We start from the raw sequence: 23,817 nt of genomic DNA on the forward strand, positions 1-23,817 counted from the left end.
GTGCAGATGACGGATTGGGGGCTCTGTGCCCTACAGGAAGGCCCTCACTTTAGATGTTGGCTGCAAGTTCTGGCCCCCCCGGATACATGCACCTCTGACCAACTAGCTACAAATTCAGGAGTTTCCCTGACCTCCTGGCATTCAGCAATTCACAATGATGAACCACACAACTCAGGAAAGTGCTGTACTTAGGATTGCGGTGTCATTAGCAAGGATATAAATCAGAACCAGCTACTGGGAGAGGCACAGAGGGGGAGGTCTGGGAGGGTCCCAAATTCAGAGCTTCCATGTCCTCAAGACTATGCAAAGCCTCCCGGGGGACTGATGTGTGATTACGAACCAGGGACAGTCATCTGAGCTTCTGATGCTCAGAGGTTTTACTGGGGTTTCATGATGTAGGAGTGACTGATAGGACTTGATCTCCAGTCCCTTTCTTCTCCAGGAGGTGATGGAGAAGGGCCTCAGCCTGCTGTTCACATGGTCAGTCTTTCTGGCATGGGCTGTCCTAACCCTGAGTCCCCTCATTAGCAAAGACTTTGAGGGCTCACTGTGAATAACAAAGACTTGCCAAGGATTTGGGGGTGACTTCCCAGGAACAAAGGCCAGTCCAATTCTGTGTTATACAACAATTTGCTGGTGCTATCCAATGACGTGCTCTCACCAGCCCTTGCCATGGGATGCCGACTCTATGACTCTTACAAAGGATTCTCCCTGACCCAGCTGACGGAAGCTGCGTCCCAAGTGCTTTGCAGAGACAGCAGAAACCGTCCAGAGAGGCCCTTTCAATGGCCAAGTGAGTGCTTTGTTCTGAAGGAAGTTACAGCCCAAGTTCGCACGACTATCATGAAATCTTCAAAACATTTCATTTTTTAAGTCATGAGATTCCCCTGAGCCCTCCCTGTCCAAGTTGTGTGATGCTCACTTTCAGAAGGAAAGGAGCCAGGACAGAAACTCGAAACTCATTCCCCTTACACGAATGAGTCTTGTTTCGAGGGGGACTCCTCTCCATGGTGGGATTTTCAGCTCAGCTCAGCGTCCCTCACGCACCAGGCAATGCAGGTTCAGTAGGGATGCAGGCTTGAGCCCCACGGTGGAAGGCTTGCAGCCTCAGGTGCAGAGGGGTGAGGCTGGATCACGGATACTGAGCAAGAATTTCAGTTTGGGCTGGGAAGAGGTATATGCCCGGAGGGCACTGGGAACACAGAGCAGGTGCCCCTGGCTCAGACCAGGAGGGTTAGGGTCATCTTGGTGTCTTTAAGGGATCAGTGGGGGTGGCTAGATGATTGTGGGTAAGAAGACAGCATGAATAAGGCAGAGAGGAGCCAAACAGCAACCCCAGGCTGTTTGAAAATGTGGAAGTTTTGAGTGGGGCTTGAGGGCTTTATCAGAAGAAAGCTGGCCAGGCGCGGTGGCTCACACCTGTAATCCCAGCACTTTGGGAGACTGAGATGGGAGAACCACTTGAGTTCAGGAGTTTGAGACCAGCCTGGCCAGAATGGTGAAACCCTGTCTCTACTAAAAATACAACAAAATTTGCTGAGTGTGGTGGCGCACGCCTGTAATCCAGCTACTAGGGAGGCTAAGGCACAACAATCACTTGAACTTGGGAGGCGGAGGCTGCAGTGAGCCGAGATCGCACCATTGCACTCCAGCCTGGGCAACAGAGCAAGACTCTGTCTCAAAAATAAACAAATAAATAAGTAAAAAAAATAAATAAACAAATAAAGGAGATAGCCAAGGAGCTCAGATTGTCCTGTATAAAGTAGAGCCATCAACAGATGAATGGAGAAATAAATTGTGTTATACACACACAAGGGAATAACATTCAACCCTAAAAAAGGAATGAAGTACATATTGAGACAGGCCACAACATAGACAAACTTTGAGAACATTAGCTAAGTGAAAGAAGCCAGACACAAAAGACCACATAGTGTATAGTTCTATTTACATGAAACGTCCAGGATAGGCAAACGCACAGAGACAGAAAGCACGTGGTCACCTGGGGTTAGCGGAGGGGAGGGAAGGGGAGGGACTGCTTGATGGGTACAGGGGTTGCTTTTGGGATGATGAAAATGTTTTGGCCCTAGATAGAGGGGGTGGCTGCACAACATTGTGAATGTACCTAATGCCCCTGAATTGTTTATTTTTACACGGTTAATTTATATTATATGAATTTCATCTCAATTTAAAATTGTAAAAGATGAGGCTGAGCAATGGTACGAATTAAGAATGGGGAATGGCCACAGTGGACTTTTAGAAGGTTGCTCAAAGGACAGGGTAGGTGACAAAAGCCATCCAGGCAGGGTGGCAGAAGGGAGTGTTCAAAGGCCATTTCTTTCTTTCTTTCTTTCTTTTTTCTAAGACGGAGTCTTGCTCTGTTGCCCAGGCTGGAGAGCAGTGGCATGATCTTGGCTCACTGCAACCTCCACCTCCCTGGTTCAAGTGATTCTCCTGCCTCAGCCTCCTGAGTAGCTGGGACTACAGGCGCCCACCACCACACCTGGCTAATTTTTTGTATTTTTAGTAGAGACGGGGTTTCACCATGTTGGCCAGGATGGTCTCGATCTCTTGACCTCGTGATCCACCCACCTTGGCCTCCCAGAGTGCTGGGATTACAGGTGTGAGCCACCGCGCCCAGCCCAAAGGCCATTTCAAAAGTCTCCATGAATGACAATAAGGTCTTAAACCTGGAGAGGATTTTCATGGAAGGATGGCATTAAGAATTTTTAGGGGCTTCAGTGGGCATGCAGGGTGACTATAAGGAACGTATTTTTTTCAGAATGGCACATTAATAGAAAGTGGTCCTAGGGCAGCGCTTTGCCTGGTAGACTCTGCCTTTGTGCTCTATGTCCAGCCCTTACCAAAGCCCAGGATTCATGCCCCAGAGGTAATTGGCCAACGTGGAGCTGGAGACCTTCACCCCCTTCCAAGAGAAAGCTGCCTAGGGTTAAGTAGGATGAACTTGAGGACAGTTCTGGGAACAGTAGGCTCGATAGCCTCTAAAATAAACTTAACTTCTGAGTCTCTCTCAGCTTTGCCTCTGGAATCAGAACTGGAATCATTTACATACTCGGGTCAAGTAGAAGTGGCAGAATCACGACCCCCTCCTTAGCCCCACTCTGAAACGTTGTCTGTTTGCATAGCCTGAATCCTTTGTACAGCCCTTCCCTGTCTGAACCCTCATGACTTTTCTGAAGAGGACTTTGTGCTTGTTCTGTGTGCCAGGAATTTTAAAATGGCATTTAGCCCAAAGCAAGAAAGTTCTGGCCTCATCTTTATAAAATTATTTTTTAAAGGGAGGGCAGTATTTAATGATGCACAGAGGGACTATCCATGCCCATAGCTGGTCCCTCATCACTCAGCATATGCCAGGGTAATTGCTCTTTCCTGGTGGTGGAGGTGACCCCAGGGGACCCTAACTAATTTGAATATCAAGTCTGATAAGAATGTAATTAGGAAAGGACTGCAGAAAATCTGGTGATGCATTTCTAAAGTCAGACAAACCATGATTTGCCCAATTTCTGCTGTATATTCAACTCTCTTTTGGGTTCTTGCATAAGGAACAAACACCTCAGAGGCATAGAGTCATAGACTCTTAGATGGAAACTTGCCATGTGTCATCCAGTTCAAGCCCCACACCCGTGAGGCTGACATCTGCCCTCACACACACACCTGTGCAGAGATGGTCCCCTGAGCTGTCCTGGCCCATTAGTGACTTCCATCCTCCTGGTTACAGTGATTTCTTCCAAGGTGGTCAAATTGTCAGAGATGTGTGAAATAGAGCAACTCTATCTTCAATAAGAGCTGAGTAAAATGAGACTGAGACCTACTGGGCTGCATTCCCAGACGGTTAGGCATTCTTAGTCACAGGATGAGACAGGAGGTCGGCACAAGATACAGGTCATAAAGACCTTGCTGATAAAACAGGCTGCAGTGAAGAAGCCAGTAAAAAACCCACCAAAACCAAGATGGTGATGAGAGTGGCCTCTGGTCATCCTCACTGCTACACTCCCATCAGCACCAAGACAGTTTACAAATGCCATGGCAACATCAGGAAGTTACCCTAGATGGTCTAAGAAGGGGAGGCATGAATAATCCACCCCTTGTTTAGCATATCCTCAAGAAATAACCATAAAAATGGGCAACCAGCAGGCGTTGGGGCTGCTCTGTCTATGGAGTAGACATTTCATTCCTCAACTTTCTTTCTTTTTTTTTTTTGAGACGGAGTCTCGCTCTGTCACCCAGGCTGGAGTGCAGTGGCGCAATCTCGGCTCACTGCAAGCTCCACCTCCTGGGTTCACGCAATTCTCCTGCCTCAGCCTCCCGAGTAGCTGGGACTGCAGGCGCCTGTGACCACGCCCGGCTAATTTTTTGTATTTTTAGTAGAGACGAGGTTTCACCATGTTAGCCAGGATGTTCTCGATCTCCTGACCTCGTGATCCGCCCGCCTCGGCTTCCCAAAATGCTGGGATTACAGGCTTGAGCCACTGCGCCCGGCCCACTCGTCTACTTTCTTAATAAACTTGCTTTCACTTTACTCTGTGGACTCGCCCTGACTTCTTTCTTGAGCAAGATCCCGATAACCCTCTCTTGGGGTCCGGATAAGGTCCTCTTTCCGGTAACGAAATCAGTCTCCCGTGAGTCAGTCCCGGGGTCTCAGCTGGTTCACAGGGAAAGGCTAGTTCTCTTTTCTTGGGTGTGCAGGGTCAGAAGGATGGAAGGCTGGAGTTGCTGTTTCTGCTGCTACTTGGGTAGAATCTGCCGGGAAATGAAGCCAGCACAGCGGAGTTGAGAGATGGTGAGAGGTTCTTGGAGACGTTGTCTGCTCATTTGAGTCCAGCCATGTGGAACATTCTGGACTTTTTAGTTATATGAACCACAACTTGCTCCCACCACCTTTTAAAAAACTTCAGCCAATTAAGCTGATCTCTGGCTCTTTGTCCTCTAGTGCCCCCTCCGTTATCTGTGTGCGTGACTGTCAACTTCGCCTAAAACCTGGGGGGTTAGATGGCATCCCATGGAGGCCCAGCCCATCATCGGCTCCTCTGTCTGGTGACAAGGACGCTCTCCCCAGTGGCCTCACCCAATGTCCTAATTCTCTTTAGGGAACAGCACGAAGCATGTTGACCCCTTTTGGGTAAAACGTCTTTGTTAGCTGAGCTCCAAAAATTCTTGCCTCAAACTCTTCATTTGCATGTGGGGGGACCCCACCTCCCTCCTGAGCTTCCTGCAGTCTAGGGGACAAGGAGAGCAGGTAGGGGGTAGCTACGGTTTTCCTCTCAGTCCTACCTTTGCTGAAGGGGCCCTCACCTCAGCATCCCCGGCACTGGCTGCCTATGGCCCCCATCATCCTGGAACACAGGTCTGTTTCCCCAACATGTTCGCACAAATATTTGTGTGCAAGCAACTGTGCAGTGTTTGACCTGGTGATGGAGAAAAGCTCACACCACAGCCCCACTCAACCAATAGCCCCAGTCATACATTAGAGAGCCGTCCCTCCACCTCCTTCACCTCCCACGAGTAGGACCCCCTCCCACCCCAGCACCTTTGCCCACTGGCTCAGGCACCTCCTTTCCTCCTAGCCCACTTCCTGCTTTACACACGCCCTGCCTCCTTCTCCCCCAGTTGAAGTCTCATTGGTGTTTTCTAGGGCCATATATTCCCAGCCCCCGTGGCCTCCAGGCTCCACCCTCGTTCCCCCTCTCCCCAGCTCTGACAACCGTGAGCCTCCACTTCCGCAGCACAGCAGCACTGCCAGGGTCCCCAAAGGCCCATGATTTTCTTCTTTGTTCCTCAGCAAGGGTAGGGGGCAGGAGGCCAGATTTAAGTCCCCCCCAGCAGGAGTTACACCTCTCTCCCTGGGAGGCAGGGCCAGCCACAGTCACTTTGGGTTTTCAATAACCATTTGTTTTCTCCCTGCAGCATGGGAAATACTTTCAGCCTGTGATAAGATCTGGTCCCTAACTGTCCTCCTTCCAAGCTCAAGCTCAGCTAACATTGTCTCTCCATCACTCCTCCTCTTTCCAGACCCTTCACCTTCTGTCCAGAATGTACTCCCCTGAATGCCTCTTCCGTGAATACACCCTTGTTTGCTCCCATCTTTCTTAAACCAGGGCGTCCAGAATGGAAGGCTGAATTCCAGATGTGACCTGACCAGCGGCGTGAGGCTTTCCCAGGGGTTAGCTTCACGCAATCCAGGCTGTGCTGGCTTCTCCTGGCAGTGTCCCCATCATCAACTTCCATGACATTTGCTATCCCTATCCATCGTCGGTCAGCAGCTTCCCACACGGCACCCTGCTGTTGGGCTAGGCTTCCCCAGCTTGTGAGGGCGCCCTAAGTGTGAAGGAGCTCCAGCAATGTCTGACCCACCGGTTTTGCCACAGTGAGGCATCTGATTTAGTTGATTTTCTGTATCGACTCCATTATCCTTCACTTGAAACATCCCTCCCAGGTGTGTGCCATTTGCAAATTTGACAAAAATGCCCCTGCTTCTCTCTAAGTCTCTATGGAAGTGCTGGCTGGCACCAAAACAAGGAGGCCTGGGGCCTCCACTGTGGCTGTCCTTCAGGGTGACCCATTGTCTGCAGCTGTCCATCTAGCTATGAATTGACCTGGTGGTGCTACCATCTAGTCCCTGTTTGAGCACCTAATTTACAAAGATATATGCCAGTCAGTATATTGTCTGAGACATTCTTTGGATCCATAAATCTGGTAACTCATGGAAAATGGAAATAAGGTCCTTTGTTGAGACAACCAGGTGGGAAGGGGTCCCAAGAGAAACTCCAGCCGGCCTGCGTACTGGGAGGAATCCGCCCTGGGGTGGAGCCACAGAAGTCTGCACCATGTGCAGTGGGGAGGAGCCTGGCTGCTCCTCTTCTTGGGTGAACCTGGGATTCAATCTGTGAGGTGGGAATGCTATACTAGGTGGACTTGCTCTGCTGAGTCTGTTTCCCCTTTTTTTCTTTTTTCTCAATAAATACTATTATTCCCACCCTTCAAATTGTCTGCGAGCCTAATCTTTCACAGCCGTGTGACAAGGAACCCGTCTTTAGCTGAACTTTAGCTGAAAATGTCCAACAATATTGTGATGTGTTTTATTCCTGAAGAGTTTCGGTTTTGTGTTGACTTCCTTTACACATTCATTAACCAGCTGTAAAATCATCCTTTTCTAACGATTTACATCACATTTACTGGACTATCATTTCTAGAATTTTCTTCCTTGCCCCTTTTTGAAATCAGGTCAGCAGCTCACGGCCTGTTTTCAGCACTTCTCTTGTCCTTCGTCATTTCTTAGAATTGTTGGTTATAGCTCTGAGACGTTGACTCCTGGAGGCTTAAATACCTGAGATGCGATTCATCAGGGTCTGGGGAAGGAACTTGTTTATAGCAGCTGGGGTAGCTATTTTCTCTTTTCACTTATATCTGGACTTATATCCAGCTGCTATCCCCTCTCTGCATTTAATTCAACAAACAGTTCCTGAGCTCCCACAATATGACTGGCATCATGCTTTGTTTTAACCTTTTCAATTCAAAAACCATTCTCTTTCCTGGAACAGGCAGAAATAGGACGAGAGTTGAGACTGTCTGCCTTTGTCCTCTTCTTGAGGGGGTGTATTTGTCCATTTTCCTGCTGCTGATAAAGACATACCCGAGACTGGGTAATTTATACAGGAAAAAGGGTTCCACATGGCTGGGGAGGCCTCACGATCATGGAGGAAGGCAAGGAGGAGCAAGTCATGTCTTACATGGATGGTGCAGGCAAAGAGAGAGCTTGTGCAGGGAAACTACCCCTTATAGAACCATCAGATCTCGTGAAACTTATTCACTATCACAGTAACAGCATGGAAAATACCTGCCTCCATGATTTAATTACCTCCCACCGGGCCCCTCCCACAACACATGGGAATTCAAGACTAGATTTGAGTGGGGACACAGCCAAACTATATAAGGGGGACTTGGTGTGTCCTTGTCCACCTTGCTGAGGGTTGCTGTAAAGGGTGTGTCTGAGTGTGTGTGCTGTGTCCTTTGAAGGCTCTGGTTTGTTCCCAGTTCATACCCTTCTCTTCCCTCCAGCTCCATGGGCTCATCTCTAGAAGATGGGAGTTCCTGGGGTTGGCTCATGCAGCCCCATCCACTTCTTAAGCTATAGCTCCAGCCCCTCTCCCAGTGGAGTCCTTGCAGTTGCAAGACCAGAATTCCATTTACAAAAACATTCCATGAGCCACTTATCCTGGGAGAGACTCAGACCAGGGGCTCCTGTCTCCCTCTGCAACCTGTTTTCTGTGGTAGGGAGGGCAGGGTGGCTTATTCCTTTGCCATTTTGGAGTCAGGGGGTTAGAATCATTTTATTAAGGTTTCTGTAACTTCTTTATTACCAGCTAGCTCTTACTATGAGAGTCGTGGAACAGTCTATAAATCCCATTTCTGAAAACACCACTAAATTTGTGCATATGTGTATAAGAAAAGACATAGAAAAAATCTGGATGGGGTCACACAAAAGATGTTAGCAGAAGTGACTTTTGGCGAGGGGTGAGATGGGTATCTGGAAGATAAGGAGAGGGGCCATTCACTTTTACCATATGTAACATACAAAGTGTAATTTTAAAAAATTATATATTTATAGTTAAATAAAAATTATAGGAGGTCATTTTTTTGGCCTTCGCTCCTGCACTAGGCCCCAACAGACCAGACTAAAAAGAAAAATGCAGTCACTCATAGTAAATTCCACATCACCAAACCAAAACTGAGTTGTTAGCTGGCCTTCTAAAAAACAGAGACAGATAACAGGCACATTTCCCAAACAGGCCAGTTTCACTAGGCTTGAGAATGAAGTTCCCACTGCTTTAATCCTTACCAAAAAAAGGTAACCTGCAGTAACCTTGTGTTAGCCAATCAGTCACCTCTCCAGTGCTCCCTGTTCCCACCTTACAAGGGATATAGCTTTAAAATGATCCATCTGCTTTTTGTTCTTTCTTTCTTTCTTTCTTTCTTTCTTTCTTTCTTTCTTTCTTTCTTTCTTTCTTCTTTCTTTCTTTCTTTTTTTTTTTGTATTCGAGGGAGTCTCACTCTTGTTGCCCAGGATAGAGTGCAATGGCACGATCTCGGCTCACCGCAACCTCTGCCTCCCAGGTTCAAGCAATTCTCCTGCCTCAGCCTCCCTAGTAGCTGGGATTACAGGTGCCCACCACCATGCCTGGCTAATTTTTGTATTTTTAGTAGAGACAGGCTTTCACCATGTTGGCTAGGCTGGTGTCAAACTTCTGGCCTCAGGTGATCCACCTTCCTCTGCCTCCCAAAGTACTGGGATTATAGGCGTGAGCCACCGCGCCCAGCCTGTTTTTGTTTTCCTCAACCCTTCTCTGTCTATAAAGCCAACTTCCTCTGCTTAGTTCATTGGAACACTTATTCTATTTTTCATTTTTCTTTTCTTTCTCTCTTTTTCTTTTTTGAGACAAGAGTCTTGCTCTGTTGCCCAGGTTGGAGTGTAGTGGTGCAATCACAGCTCACTGCAGCCTCGACCTCCTGGGCCAAAGCGATCCTCCATTTCATCCCATTCCCTAAGTAGCTGGGATTACAGGTGTGCGTCACTACGCCAAATTTTTTGCAGAGACAGGGTCTTGCTATGTTGCCCAGGCTGGTCTTGAATTCCTGGCCTCAAGCAATCCTCCAGCCTTGGCTTCCCAAAGTGCTGAGATTACAGGCATGAGCGGCCTCGCCATGCTGCTTATTCTATTTTATATAATGAAGTGTTGCCCTGACTGTAAAATCACAAATAAAGCCAATTAAGATATTTAAACTAAATTGTAATTTTTTCTTTTGATAATATATAATATACATATCTGTGATCTGTGAGTATAAACTTTTTTCTTCATGACAATTATTTCAGTGTCTGCCTATCTTATCAAACATACCTGATCATAGCAAGTCCCAGGTACATTTTCAAATGGGTACATTTGGGACTGGCTTTTTTTCACTCAGCGTAAGCCTCTGGAAATTCATCCAGGTTGCCGTGTGTATGAATGGCATGTTCTGTTCTGTTTTTTCCTTTTTTTTTTTTTTTTTTGCTGAGTGTATTCCATAGTATGTTTGTTTAGCCATTCTCTTCTTGAAAGACATCTGGGTTGCTTCCAGGTTTTTTTGCTATTATTCATAACACTGCAAAACCATTCATGTGCAGGTTTTGTGTACGTGTGAACATAAGACTTCATTTCTCTGGGACAAATGCCCAAGAGTGCCATTGCTGGATTGTATGGCAGTTGCATGTTTGGTGTTTTAAAGAAACTACCAAACTGTTTTCCAGAGTGTTTGCATTTCACGTTCCCACTGAAAATGTATGAATGATCCGATTTCTCTGCATCCTGGCCAGCATTGCGTGTGATTACTTTGTTTTGGCCATTCTTATAGGTGAGTCGTGCATCTCACTATGGTTTCAGTTTACATTTCCTCAATGGCTAATGAAGTGCCTTTTCATACACTTATTTCTCTTCTGTATATCCTCTTCAGTGAAATGTTTTTTCATGTCTTTTGCCCATTTTCTAATTGGGCTATTTGAATTTTTTCACAGTTACATTTGAGAGTTCTTTGTATATTCTAATTACTAGTCCTGTGTTTGACTTGTAGCCTGCAAATATTTTCCCCCCATCTGTAGGTTTTCTTTCCATCCTCTTAACAGGATCTTTCAATGAGCAGGAATTTTAAATTTATTTTTAATTTTTTTTTTTTTTGAGACAGGATCTCACTTCGTTACCCAGACTGGAGTGCAGTGGCACAATCTCGGCTCACTGCAACCCCTGCCTCCAGGATTCAAGCAATTCTTGTGCGTCAGCCTCCCGAGTAGCTAGGACTACAGACGTGCACCACCACGCTCAGCTAACTTTTGTATTTTTAGTAGAGACAGGCTTTTGCCATGTTGGCCAGGCTGATCTTGAACTCCTGACGTCAAGTGATCCGCCCACCTTGGCCTCCCAAAGTGCTGGGATTACAGGCGTGAGCGACAATGCCTGGCCTAGTTTTTAATTTTGATGAAGTCCAAATTATCAAATTTTCCTTTTATGAATCATGTTTTTGATGTCAAGTCTAAGAACTATTTGCCTAGCCCTAGGTCCCTAAGGTTTTCTCCTATGTTTTTTCTAAAAATGTTATAATTTTATATTTTATCTTTAAGTTTATGATCCATTTTGAGTTAATTCTTATGAAAGGTGTGAGACCTAAGTAGAATTTATTTTCTTTCTTTCTTCCTTTCTTTCTTTCTTCTTCTTCTTCTTCTTTTTTTCTTATGGATGTCCAGTTGCCTTAGTTTGTTGTGAAGGTGATCTTTCTTTTTTTTTCTTTTTTCTTTCTTTCTTTCTTTTTTTTTTTTTTTTGAGACAGAGTCTTACTCTATCACCCAGGCTGGAGCGCAGTGGTATGATCTTGGCTCACTGCAACCTCCACCTCCCAGGTTCAAGGAATTCTCCTGCCTCAGCCTCCTGAATAGCTGGGACTACAGGCACGTGCCACCATGCCTGGCTGATTTTTGTAGTTTTAGTAGTGACAGGGTTTCACCATGTTGGCCAGGCTGGTCTTGAACTCCTGACCTCAAGTGATCCACCCGCCTCGGCCTCCCAAAAAGCTGATCTGTGTTACATTGAATTGATTTTGTACCTTTGTCAAAGATCGGTTGGGCATATTCTTTTGGGTCTATTTCTGGGTTCTCTGTTCTGTTCCATTGATTAATGTATCTACTCTTCTGCCAAATACCAATCTTGATTAGTGCAGATATTAATACATACAAAGTCTTGAAATGGGGTAGGGTGATTCCCTCCCATTTTATTATTTTTCAAAATTGTTTTAGCTATTCTAGTTCCTTTACCTTTCCATTTAAATTTTAGAATAATCTCATCTATATGTACAAACAACCTTGCTGGAATTTTGGTAGAAATTACATTAAACCTGTATATCAATTTTGGAAGAACTGACATCATTACTACGTTGAGCCTTTCAATACATGAACACAATATATCTCTCCATTTATTCAGATTTTCTTGGATTTCTTTCACAAGTCTCGTGTAGTTTTCAGCATACAAATCCATGTTTTGTTAGATTTACACTTCAGTAGTTCTCTTTCTCTCTCTTTTTCATGATCGTAAATGACATTGTAGTTTTAATTTTGGTGCTAGTATATATAAATAAATAAAATTTTGTATAATTATCTTGTATCTTGCAACTTTGCTGAAGTTATTTATTCCAGGAGTTTTGTTTTGTTTTGATTTTTTGGGATTTTCTAGGTAGACAAGCATGCCTTCTCTTTTTTTTTTTTTTTTTTTGTTGAGACGGAGTCTCGCTCTGTGGCCCAGGCTGGAGTGCAGTGGTGCGGTTTTCTCTCACTGCAAGCTCCGCCTCCCAGGTTCACGCCATTCTCCGGCCTCAGCCTCCCGAGTAGCTGGGACTACGGGCGCCCGCCACTGCGCCTGGCTAATTTTTTTTTGTATTTTTAGTAGAGACGGGGTTTCACCGTGGTCTCGATCTCCTGACCTTGTGATCCGCCTGCCTCGGCCTCCCAAAGTGCTGGGATTACAGGCATGAGCCACCGCGCCCGGCCAGCATGCCTTCTCTTAATAGGCATAGTTGTATTTCTTCCTCTTAAATCTGGATGCTTTTAATTTCCTTCTCTTCTGTCGTTGCACTGGTGAGAACTTGCAGTATAATGTTGAATAAGAGTGGTGAGGGTGGACATTCTTGCCTTATTCTCGGTCTTAGCAGGAAAGCATTTTGTCTTTATTTAGCTGCTGGGTGTTTTGGTAAATGAGCTTTATCAAGTTAATATCAATATTCCTTTTTTCTCTAAGAGTTTTTAAAAATTATGAGAGTGTTGAATTTTGTCAGATGCTTTCACTGCATTGATTGACATGATCCTGTGGTTTTTCTTCTTTAGCCTGTTAATACGGTAGAGGACATTTATTTTGGGATCTTCAACCAGATTTGCATCCTTGTGATAGATCCTTGGTCATATTACATGATTCTTTTAATGTATGGCTGAATTCTCTGTCAATATTTTGTTAAGGATTTTTGCATTTAAATTCATGAGGCATATTGCTCTGTAATTTTCTTTCTTTTTTGTATGATCATTGTACAGTTTTGACATCAGGTTAATACTAGCTTCATAAAGTGATTGAGAAGTGTTACTTCCTCTTCTATTATCATGAACAGACTGTGTAGAATTGGTTTAAATTCTTCAAGTTCTTGCTAAAACTCTCCAATGATACCATCTACGCCTGGAGATTTCTTTACTAGGAGTTTCAAAATTATCAGCTGGATTTCTTAAACAGTTACAGGGGTTATTTAAATGATCTATTTTATATTGGGTGAGTTGTGGTAGTTTGTGGATTTGTCTGTTTGTTGAGGAAGTGGTCCATTTCATCTAGGTTGCCAAATTTATGTGCGTAGAGTTGTTCCTAGCATTCCCTTATCTACTTATCTATTGATTCATTCCTTTCACAATGTTTATTATGCACTTGCATTTTTCTCTTTTTAAAATTGTGGTAAAACATATATAACATAAAATTTACCATTCCACTTTCTGTCTCTATGAATTTGATACTGTAGGTATCTCACTTTAGTGGAATCATACAATATTTGTCCTTTTGTGCTGGTTTATTTAACTTAACATAATGTCTTCAAGGTTCATCCATGTTGTAGCAGGTGTCAGAATTATCTTCCTTTTTAATGCTAAATAATATTTCATTGTATGGATATCACACATTTGGTTTCTCTGTTTATATCTGTTGATGGACACTTGAGTTGCATCTACCTTTTGACTATTGTGAATAATGCTGCTGTGAACACGGTGGTGCAAACACCTGTTTGAGTTCCTGCTTTCAGTTCTTTTGTGTGGATACCCAGAAATTGGATTGCTGGATCATATGGTAATTCTGCGTTTAATTTTCTGAGCAACTGTCGTACTATTTTCCACAGCAGTTGCAGCATTTTACATTCCCAGCAGCAGGACACAGGATTCCAATCTTTTCACATGCATGCCAACACTTACTATTTTGTGGTATCTCATTGTGATTTTGATTTGCATATTCTTAATGATTAGAGACAAATATTAATTACCTTTTCTTGGGCTTACTGGCCATTTATGTGTGTGTGTGTGTGTGTGTGTGTGTGTGTGTGTGAGAAATATCACTTGTCATCCTTATGATAGCTGCAGGGTCTATAGTGAAACTCCCTTTTGCATTCCTTACATTGATACTTTGTGTCTTTCATTTTTATCAGTCTTGCTAGGGATTTGTTAACTTCATTGGTCTTTCAAAGAAATGGTTCCTTGTCTCAAAAATTTTGTTTTTTTCTTTTTGTTTTTAGTTCCATTGAACTATCTTTATTATTTCTTTCCTTCTGCTTGCTTTGGGTTTATTCTGCTGTTCTTTCTCTAGGTTGATGAGGTGGGAGCATAGATTGTTTGAGACTCTTTTCAAATGCATACATTTTAATCCTATGAATTTTCCTCTAAGCACTGCTTTAGCTGTGTCTCACAAATTTTGCATACATGCTGTACTTTCATTTTAATTCAATTCAATGTCAGTTTTCCCCCCTTGAAGCTGCCTCTTTGATCCATGGATTATTTAGAAGAATGTTATTTAGTTTCCAAGTGTTTTGAGATTTTCCTCTTATCTTTCGGTTTTTCTTTTCTAGTTTGATCCCATTTTGGCTAGAGAACACATTCTGTATGATTTTAACCATTTTAAATTTGTTGAGGTTTGATTACTTTGTTTGAGGACTAACTTGGTGTATGTTCCTTGCACACTGGAAAAAAATCTGTATTCTGCTGTTGTTGGATGGAACGGTATATAAATGCCAATTAGATCCTATTGGTTGATGGTGGTGTTGAGTTCTTTTGGGCTTGCTGAGGTTACTAAGGCTACTTTGTTGATAAATCCAGTGGATATTTTCTTGTCTTCATCCAACTTGAACTCTCCTGGGTTTTTGCAGTAGCATCTTCACTCATCCTGCCTCAGTGTTGGTTCCTCTAGTCCATTTTCCATTTGGCAGCCAGAGCTCACCTTCTAGCAGGTGGGTCTGGTCCTATGGGCTCTTCAGAGCCTTTAGATTAATTTAAATTCCTTAGTCCAGCATGCAAAGCCCTTTGCAATGTGGTCTTGTTCACCTCCCCAGCTTTGTTTTCTGCCATTCTTCCTTGTACCCCATGAACCAGCCATCCTTGACCAATGCCACTCTCCTTGAATAGGCTACCTCCCTCCTCTACTTAATGCTTTTGCATGCACTGTTTCCTGTGCATGGAACAACACTCAGGTTCCCCTTTATCCTGCCAGTCCTTCTCTTCCTCTCCACTCAGATGTCCCCTCTTCCCAGAAGCCTGCCTTGAACTTTCTCCCCATTCCAAAGAGATGGACCATCTATGTGTTGTCATACAGCTTTGAGGTTCTCTAGCTCAGCATTAATCATGCTGCCTTCCTTACTTTCAATTAGTCTGCTTTTCCCACAAGACAGGAGCTCTCTGAGGTTAAGGATTGTGGCTCAAGGGGCCCCTCAGGACATCTGGGGCTTAGCAGATGTGTAGATCCTGGCTGCTGAGTGAAGCAGAAGCAAATGGCGTGTACATTAGAACCCAAATAGAGAAGTTGCTTGTTTTTTCTTTCTTGAAATGCAGCAGCCACTCCTTACTGCACCAAGGATGTAAGTGGAGCTTGACATTGGACTTTCCGACTGCATGCTCCTAGAGGGCAGCTCTGTTTTGGCCTTGCTATCATCCCCCAAAACACTAGAGCGTGGGGGTTAGTTTCAGTGCTGATCTTTATTGCTCAGAAATTTTATTTTGTACTTACTCAAAGAGTTCTTTTAGAATTACTTAGATACAGTGGGTTTTTAAATCATATGTTGCTTTTATGCACAATAAAAAGGAAAATATAAACAAAACTAATGGTTAAGAAATTCCTGACACTTCTTTGCCTTCGGAGTGAGGGATGTCCTTGTTTTTCACACAGTATTGTCCTCTGAGCCATCAAGAGCCTTTGTCAGGCAGGATTCCTTAGAAGAATTCTCCTTGGCCACCTCCAGGATTGTCTCCCAAGGCATTGGTGCCTGTATTGCAGAATATGCTGGTGCCTTGGACGTTTGCCCACATTTGTCTTCTCCAATTCTCCCACCCAACTGACAGAACAATGACACTAATTTTTTTTTTTTTTTTTTTTTTGGAGATGGAGTCTCGCTCTGCTGCCCAGGCTGGAGTGCAGTGGTGCGATCTCGGCTCACTGCAAGCTCCGCCTCCCAGGTTCAAGCAATTCTCCTGCCTCACCCTCCTGAGTAGCTGAGACTACAGATGCATGCCACCACTCTCAGCTAATTTTTTGTATTTCAGTAGAGACAGAGTTTCACCGTGTTGCCCAGGCTGGTCTCGAACTCCTGAGCTCAGGCAATCTGCCCGCTTCGGCTTCCCAAGTGACAACAATTTTAAGACATATCCCAAGTGTAGCATCCTTAGAGTGTGGAAAAAAAAAGTGTATCTTAGAGTTAACAAAATTTGATTAAATAATCCTTCCTTTTCCATTGTTTTGAATCATTTTTACCTTATATTCAGTTTCCATATGAACACGAGGTCTAAGTTCTCAGTTCTCTTCCACCAGCTGATCAGTTCTTGTGTGAGTATCTGGCACTCTGCCTTCTTACTATGGTGTGGAATATGCCTTCATGTCCAGGATGGCAAGTCCCCTCTTTATTCCTTTTTTTCAGTGTTATTAACCTAGCCTTATTTTTATCTATCTATCTATCTATCTATCTATCTATCTATCATCTATCTATCTATCTATCTATCTATCTATCTATCTATCTATCATCTATCTACCTATCTATCTATTTTCTTGAGACAGGGTCTTGCTCTGTTGCGGAGGCTGGAGTGCAGTGAATTCCTGGGCTTAAGTGATCCTCCCACCTCAGCCTCCCAAGTGGCTGGAACTACAAGTGTGCACCATTGTGCCCAGCTAATTCTTAAATTTTTTGCAGAGATGTGGTATTGCCATGTTGCCCAGGCTTGTCTGGAACTCCTGAGCTCAAGTGATTCTCCCACCTCAGCCTCTCAAAGTGTTGAGATTACAGGCATGAGCCACTGTGCCTAGTCTACTTTTATTTCTCTGTATACATTTTAGAATAGGTTTATCAAGTTCCTTTAAAAAAATCCAAGTAGAATTCTGGGTTTTTGTATTGAGTTTATTGATTCATTACAGTGAATATATAATTTATAATTAATTTATAATACAATTAACACAAATTTAAATTACAAATTAATATAAAGAATGTTGTTAATATAATTAATTATAATTAACATCAATTTATATTCATTTACATTACAAATCAATATAAATAAATTATGTTATAGAATACATTGTATTATATATTATATAATAATTAATATAGATTAATTTTAATCTATATTAATAGATTGATTTGGTAAAAACTGATATCTTTATAATAAGTTATCCTATGCAAGAAATGAAGTGTCTCCTTTTAATTCAAATCGTCTTGTGTTTTAAGTCATGCTTATTGAGGTATAATTTACACACAGTAAAATTCACTCCTTTTAGATACACATTTCTATGCGTTTTGACGAATGTATACCGCGATGTAATCATTGCCACAATCAAGATATGGGCTATATTTGGGGTCTGTCTTTACTTGGGGAGAGCCCAGTCATCAAGCCAAGAAATCAAGTGTTGATTCTGGCCTTCAGCCCCCTTTGAAAAGAGCTGGGGAGGAATCAGCAAAGCCCCAGGAGTGGGGCATTTGCTGGTACGGAAGGTGGGAGTGAGATTTGCAAATGGGCCTTTCAGGCAGGGTCCTTCCATGGGGGCTAGGGTGAGAAATGACCTTAGTGCTGCCAACCAAGTCAACCACTGGGTAGATATGTATATTTTTTTTGAGACAGAGTTTCGCTCTGTCGCTCAGGCTGGAGTGCAATGGCACGATCTCTGCTCACTGCAACCTCCGCCTCCCAGGTTCAAGCAATTCTCTGCCTCAGCCTCCCGAGTAGCTGGGATTACAGGCACCCACCACCACGCCCGGCTAATTTTTTGTATTTTTTAGTAGAGACGGGGTTTCACCATTTTGGCCAGGCTGATCTTGAACTCCTGACCTCATGATCCACCCGCCTCGGCCTCCCAAAGTGCTGGGATTACAGGCATGAGCCACCGCGCCTGGCTTTTTTTTTTTTTTTTTTGAGACGGAGTCTTGCTCTGTTGCTCAGGCTAGAGTACAGTGGCGCCATCTTTGCTCACTGCAACCTCTGCCTCCTGAGTTCAAGTGATTCTCCTGCTTCAGCCTCCTGCATACCATAGTTGGGATTACAGGCGTGCACCACCACACCCAGCTAATTTTTTGTATTTTTAGTATAGATGAGGTTTCACCATGTTGGCCAGGCTGGTCTTGAACTCCTGACCTTACGTGATCCACCCACCTCGGCCTCCCAAAGTGCTGGGATTACAGGCATGAGCCATGGTGCCCGGCCCCACTGGGTAGATTTTAAGTTGATCTGGCGGAATGAATCCTTGCTTCCTGGTCTCTCATTTTCAGCTGTTTTGCAACTGTATTCTTCCCCTCTGGGCTCCCCACTTTTCAAAGTTGCTGTTGGTGATGGCGTTGGGTATGTGGGTCTATGTTTTAATTCTAACCTTCTTTATATTAAGAGGGAAAAAGGTTTGTCTGACCGTGGCCAGGACAGAGAAGGTGCAGGGCATACCCGAGGTCCTGCTGTGTCGTGGCAGCCGCCACCCTAGGTCCCGGGCGGAGGAGATGGAGAGGGGAACCAGAGCAGACAGAGACAGAAAGTCATTCAGCAGAGAGCATCAGAGACCCTGAGCGTGCTCACTCCCCTACCTGCAGCTCTCCTGCAGTAGCCCCCACTGCTTCATATATGTGCACTTACATTTTCAAAGGCAACTCTATAAAGGCCAGCCACAGCCCAGGAGAGGCTGCGACATCTTCAGTGCTCTCAGCTCCTGCACAAGGAGCTGACTTACTTAGCTTCTGGATAAGCTGTCACTGAGTGTACAAAAGGGGTGAGGGCCGCAGACACCCATCTTTTCTTTTTTTCTTTTTTCTTTCTTTTCTTTGAGGTGGAGTTTCGCTCTTGTTGCCCAGGCTGGAGTACAATGGTGCGATCTTGGCTCACTGCAACCTCCGCTTCCAGGGTTCAAGCAATTCTCCTGCCTCAGCCTCCTGAGTAGCTGGGATTACAGGTGTCCGCCACCATACCTGGCTAAGTTTTGTATTTTTAGTAGAGACAGGGTTATACCATGTTGGCCAGGCTGGTCTTGAACTCCTGACTTCAGGTGATCTGCCCGCCTCGGCCTCCCAAAGTGCTGGGATTATAGGCATGAGGCACCGCACCCAGCCCCCATCTTTTCTTTTTCAGAAAAATCTGAAAAATCCCATGGACCCTGGGAAGCTGCCAAGGGCCCCTCGCAGGAATCTGTAGTTAGGAAAATTCCATTGATAACAGCTGATGTGGATTGAGTCCAGGTGGCTGCCACTATGCTACAAACCTATGAGATATTGTTAGTTACCCCCATGTGATGGTTAATTTAATATATTAACTTAAATGGGGCATGGAATGCCCAGATACTTGCTCAGACATTATTCTGAGTGTTTCTGTGAGGGTGCTTTTGGACGAGATTAACACTTAAATCCATAGACTGAGTAAAGCAGATTACCCTTCGCAATGCACTGAATGTTCTTGTCTCTCCCCCCAAAATTGATATATTAAAAACCTAATCCCCAAGGTGATGCTGTCAGGAGATGGGGCCTTTGAGAGGCGGTCAGGTCACAAGGGTTGAGCCTTCATCAGTGGGATTAGTGCTCTTATAAAAGAGCCTCTGGAGGACCCCCCACCCTTCTACCATGTGAGGGCACAGCAAGAAGCTGGCCGTCTGCAACCTGGAAGAGGACCCCCAGGGGAACCCCACCGTGCTGGCATCCTGACCTCAAACTTTCAGCCTTCAGAATGATGAGAAATAACTCTCTGTTGTTTACAAGCCACCGAGTCTATGGGATTTTGTAAAAGCAGCCCAAATGGACGAAGACACCCTCCATCATGAGTGGGCCTCATCTAATCAGTTGAAGGTCTCAATGGTGTAGTTCAAGGTTAGCCCTTTGCTGAGTGAGTGAGAACTCTCCTACCTGATGGGCTGTGAGCTGGGACCTTGGCTCTCCCCGCTTCTGCAGCACTCCTCTGTTTTTCTGGAGAACTGTCACTAAGGCATTTTACAGATATGAAGAATGAAGCTGAAGGCCAGGCGTGGTGGCTCACACCAGCACTTTGGGAGGCCAAGGCAGGCAGATCACCTGAGATCAGGAGTTCAAGACCAGCCTGGCCAACATGGTGAAACCTTGTCTCTACTAAAAATACAAAAATTAGCCAGGTGTGGTGGCATGCACCTGTAATCCCAGCTTCTAAGGAGGCAGAGGCAGGAGAATTGCTTGAACTCAGGAGGCAGAGGTTGCCATGAGCCAAGATGGCACCACTACACTCCAGCCTGGGCAACAGAGTGAGACTTGGAACAGATGCAGAGTGAGCCAGTCCAACAACCCCTGCACTTCCGCCCCACGCCCCTCTCCAGATGTAAACACTGTGACATTTTAGAGCATGCTCAAATAGGCATATCTTCCAGATCTTTTCTGCACAATAATATACATACAACAGCTTACATAATTGTCTGTACAAGAATATATACACATATAGGCACAATATATATGTGTGTGTGTGTCTACATATTTATATATTTCTAGCTTTAGTTGTTAAAAAATATTAAAAACTACATAATTGTTTGAAGCTTGCTTTTTTGTCTAAAAATATATCTTGGAGAGCTTTCCACATCAGATCATTCAGTGACCTTCTGTGTGTTGACTGGTGCATAGTATTCCATGGGATGTGTGCACCACTATTCACTGTATCGTCTTATTCATGGACATTTATTTCCAATCTTTCCGCTCAGTTAGAGCAATGCTACAATGCACAGCCTTGGCTATTTTGTATTGCATTAAAAAAAAAATCAGGCCAGGCATGATGGCTCACTCACGCCTGTAATCCCAGCACTTTGGGAGGCCGAGACGGGCGGATCACGAGGTCAGGAGATCGATACCATCCTAGCTAACACAGTGAAACTCCGTCTCTACTAAAAATACAAAAAAAATTAGCCGGGCATGGTGGTGGGCACCTGTAGTCCCAGCTACTCGGGAGGCTGAGGCAGGAGAATGGCGTGAACCTGGGAGGCGGAGCTTGCAGTGAGCCGAGATCGCACCACTGAACTCCAGCCTGGGCGACAGAGCGAGACTTCGACTCAAAAAAAAAAAAAAAAATCAGATGGGACTTATTACAAAACATACTATTATCTTATGTGGCACCAAGAAGGAAAAAGATGCTGCTAGTTACAATATGGCACAATGTTCACTGTAAGCACATACAGTTCAGAGATGTGAACGTGTGAAAAAGTGTGTACCTTTGCTCTGTTGTTTGAGCAAACCTGTGGGAGAGCATCTTCGACGTGGAGGTGCTGGGCTGAGACGTGGAGGCTGCAAGGTGGACAGTACTTAGGGAGCAACATGGGCAAGGCGAAGGTTGGAGGCTGGGAGGGACATCGATTCAAATCATTGACAGAGGCTAACAGATGGTCCCGCATCAGGGCGGCACCAATCCATCTTCCATGTGGGAGTCTTTGAAAGTGTTGACTGGCTGGGCGCGGTGGCTCATGTCTGTAATCCCAGCACTTTGGGAGGCCGAGGCAGGCAGATCATCTGAGGTCAGGAGTTCGAGACCAGCCTGGTCAACATGGTGAAACCCCGTCTCTACTAAAAATACAAAATATTAGCTGGGCGTGGTGGCCAGTGCCTGTAATCCTGGCTACTTGAGAGGCTGAAGCAGGAGAATCGCTTGAACCTGGGAGACAGAGGTTGCAGTGAGCCAAGATCGAGCCACTGCACTCCAGCCTGGGCCACAGAGAGAGACTCCATCTCAAAAAGAAAAAAACCAAAGTGGTGACTGACGTGACTTAGTGCCTTGGGAGGAGATGAATTGGTTTCCTGTTGCTGCTGGAACAAATGACCCCACACTGCATGGCTTAGAACAATGGTTTTAGACACCAGGAGTCTGAAATCACCGTGTCTGCAGGGCCACACTCCCTCTCGAGGCTCTAGGGGAAAACCCTGCCCTGTCTTTTCCAGTTTCTGGGGCCCAGGTGTTTGCTGGCTTGACATGCAGCACTTCAGTCTCTGCTGCCATCTGCACGTGGCCTCCCCCTGTGTCTCTGAGTCTCAAATCTTCTGCCTTTCTCTCATGAGGACACTTGTTATTGGATTCAGGGTTCACTTGGATTATCCAGGATAATCTCATCTCAAATCCTTAACTTAATGACACCTGCAGAGACCCTTTTGCCAAATAAGGTCACATTCACCGGTTCTGGGTGGACATATGTTTTGGGGGCCTCTATTCCAATCTGCAACAGGAGGTGACTTCCTTGGGTGTGCTTGTCCACTCCTTAAGTCCCCAGTGTCCGGTCCAGAGCTGGTCACAGTGGCCCAGGAGCTGGGCAGACATAAGGGGTGAGCCTGTTTCTGGAGAAGCCCCATGTCCCACCAGTACCAGAGGCAGAATGTGAAGACTGGGAGCATGGGGCGGGAGAGTAACAAAGGCAGGTGGGAGGGGCTGCTCTGGGAACAGAGGGGAGGACGGGGACAGAGATGAGGAGGCTTCCCTCCTAGGGTACAATGGTTGCTCAGCTGAGGCCTGGGAACCTGGGGAGAGACACAGACATTCAGGCCTGATCCAGGAGGGTCGGGCTGGATTCAAGAGGTTGGGAAGACTTCTGCAGAATCAAGATATTTTAAACTAAGGCTTAAGACCTGCTGACACCAAGGCCTCAATCTTGCCATCTGTAATTGCCTGTGACCTTATAAAACCTGTCCTCCCCTCCGGGGTCGTGTTTGTCTCTTTCCTGTGAGCTGGCTGGAGGCTGGGCTGTCATTCACCATCCCCAGTAGCTATCAGGTCTCTATTTGGCAGTAGGCACACACGAAATGCACTCTTTGCCTGCAAAGCATCCTTGTCCTGGAGGAGAGAAATGAAGGTAAAGAGCTGTCAAAATGCAGTATGGTAAGTGCTGAGTGCTGCATGCTAAGTGCTGAGTGCTGCATGCTAAGTGCTGAGTGCTGCATGGTAAGTGCTGAGTGCTGTGTGGTAAGTGCTGAGTGCTGTGTGGTAAGTACTGAACGCAGCATGGTAAGTGCTGAGTGCTGTGTGGAAAGTGCCGAGTGCAGAGTGGTAAGTGTTGAGTGCTGAGTGCTGTGTGGAAAGTGCTGAGTGCTGTGTGGAAAGTGCCGAGTGCAGAGTGGTAAGTGTTGAGTGCTGAGTGCTGTGTGGAAAGTGCTGAGTGCAGAGTGGTAAGTGTTGAGTGCTGAGTGCTGCAGGCCACCCAGGTGCCTTCCACTCATGAGTGCCCCCACCCCCGTTTTACAGAAGAGGAAACTGAGACTCTGAGAGGGCGAGCTCCTGCCTAGCGACCCAGTGGTGATGGGGAAGGGCTAGAGCTCCACACTGCACCCATCAGATCCCAAAGTCTTGCTCTTTCTGGAATAATTCAGGAGTGAGAGAAGTTTGGTGGGGCGATGCCTGTGCAGGGAAGGAGGAGAGAGTGCAGGATGGGGCAGGAAGAGCCTCCCACTGGGGTGCCCTCTGACAAAGCCTAGGATCCCCCAACAGGGAGCTCCAGAACAAAGGTTGCCTTGGAAGGGTCATGTGAGTGGCCCACCTCCCAGCTCCTCTAGGACAGATAGGTG

General features: G+C 45.3%; 2 annotated features.

The window, feature by feature from the left end:
* Positions 3,880 to 4,381: an enhancer, noted in NCBI's record as "H3K4me1 hESC enhancer chr17:75612675-75613176 (GRCh37/hg19 assembly coordinates)". NCBI's record gives its function as "activates a minimal SCP1, AML or CMV promoter by ChIP-STARR-seq in naive H9 embryonic stem cells {active_cell/tissue: H9 hESC(naive)}" and the evidence as "EXISTENCE:reporter gene assay evidence [ECO:0000049][PMID:30033119]".
* Positions 4,382 to 4,881: an enhancer, noted in NCBI's record as "H3K4me1 hESC enhancer chr17:75613177-75613676 (GRCh37/hg19 assembly coordinates)". NCBI's record gives its function as "activates a minimal SCP1, AML or CMV promoter by ChIP-STARR-seq in naive H9 embryonic stem cells {active_cell/tissue: H9 hESC(naive)}" and the evidence as "EXISTENCE:reporter gene assay evidence [ECO:0000049][PMID:30033119]".

Source organism: Homo sapiens, chromosome 17 (assembly GCF_000001405.40).
Source record: "Homo sapiens chromosome 17, GRCh38.p14 Primary Assembly".
NCBI classification, from domain to species: domain Eukaryota; kingdom Metazoa; phylum Chordata; class Mammalia; order Primates; family Hominidae; genus Homo; species Homo sapiens.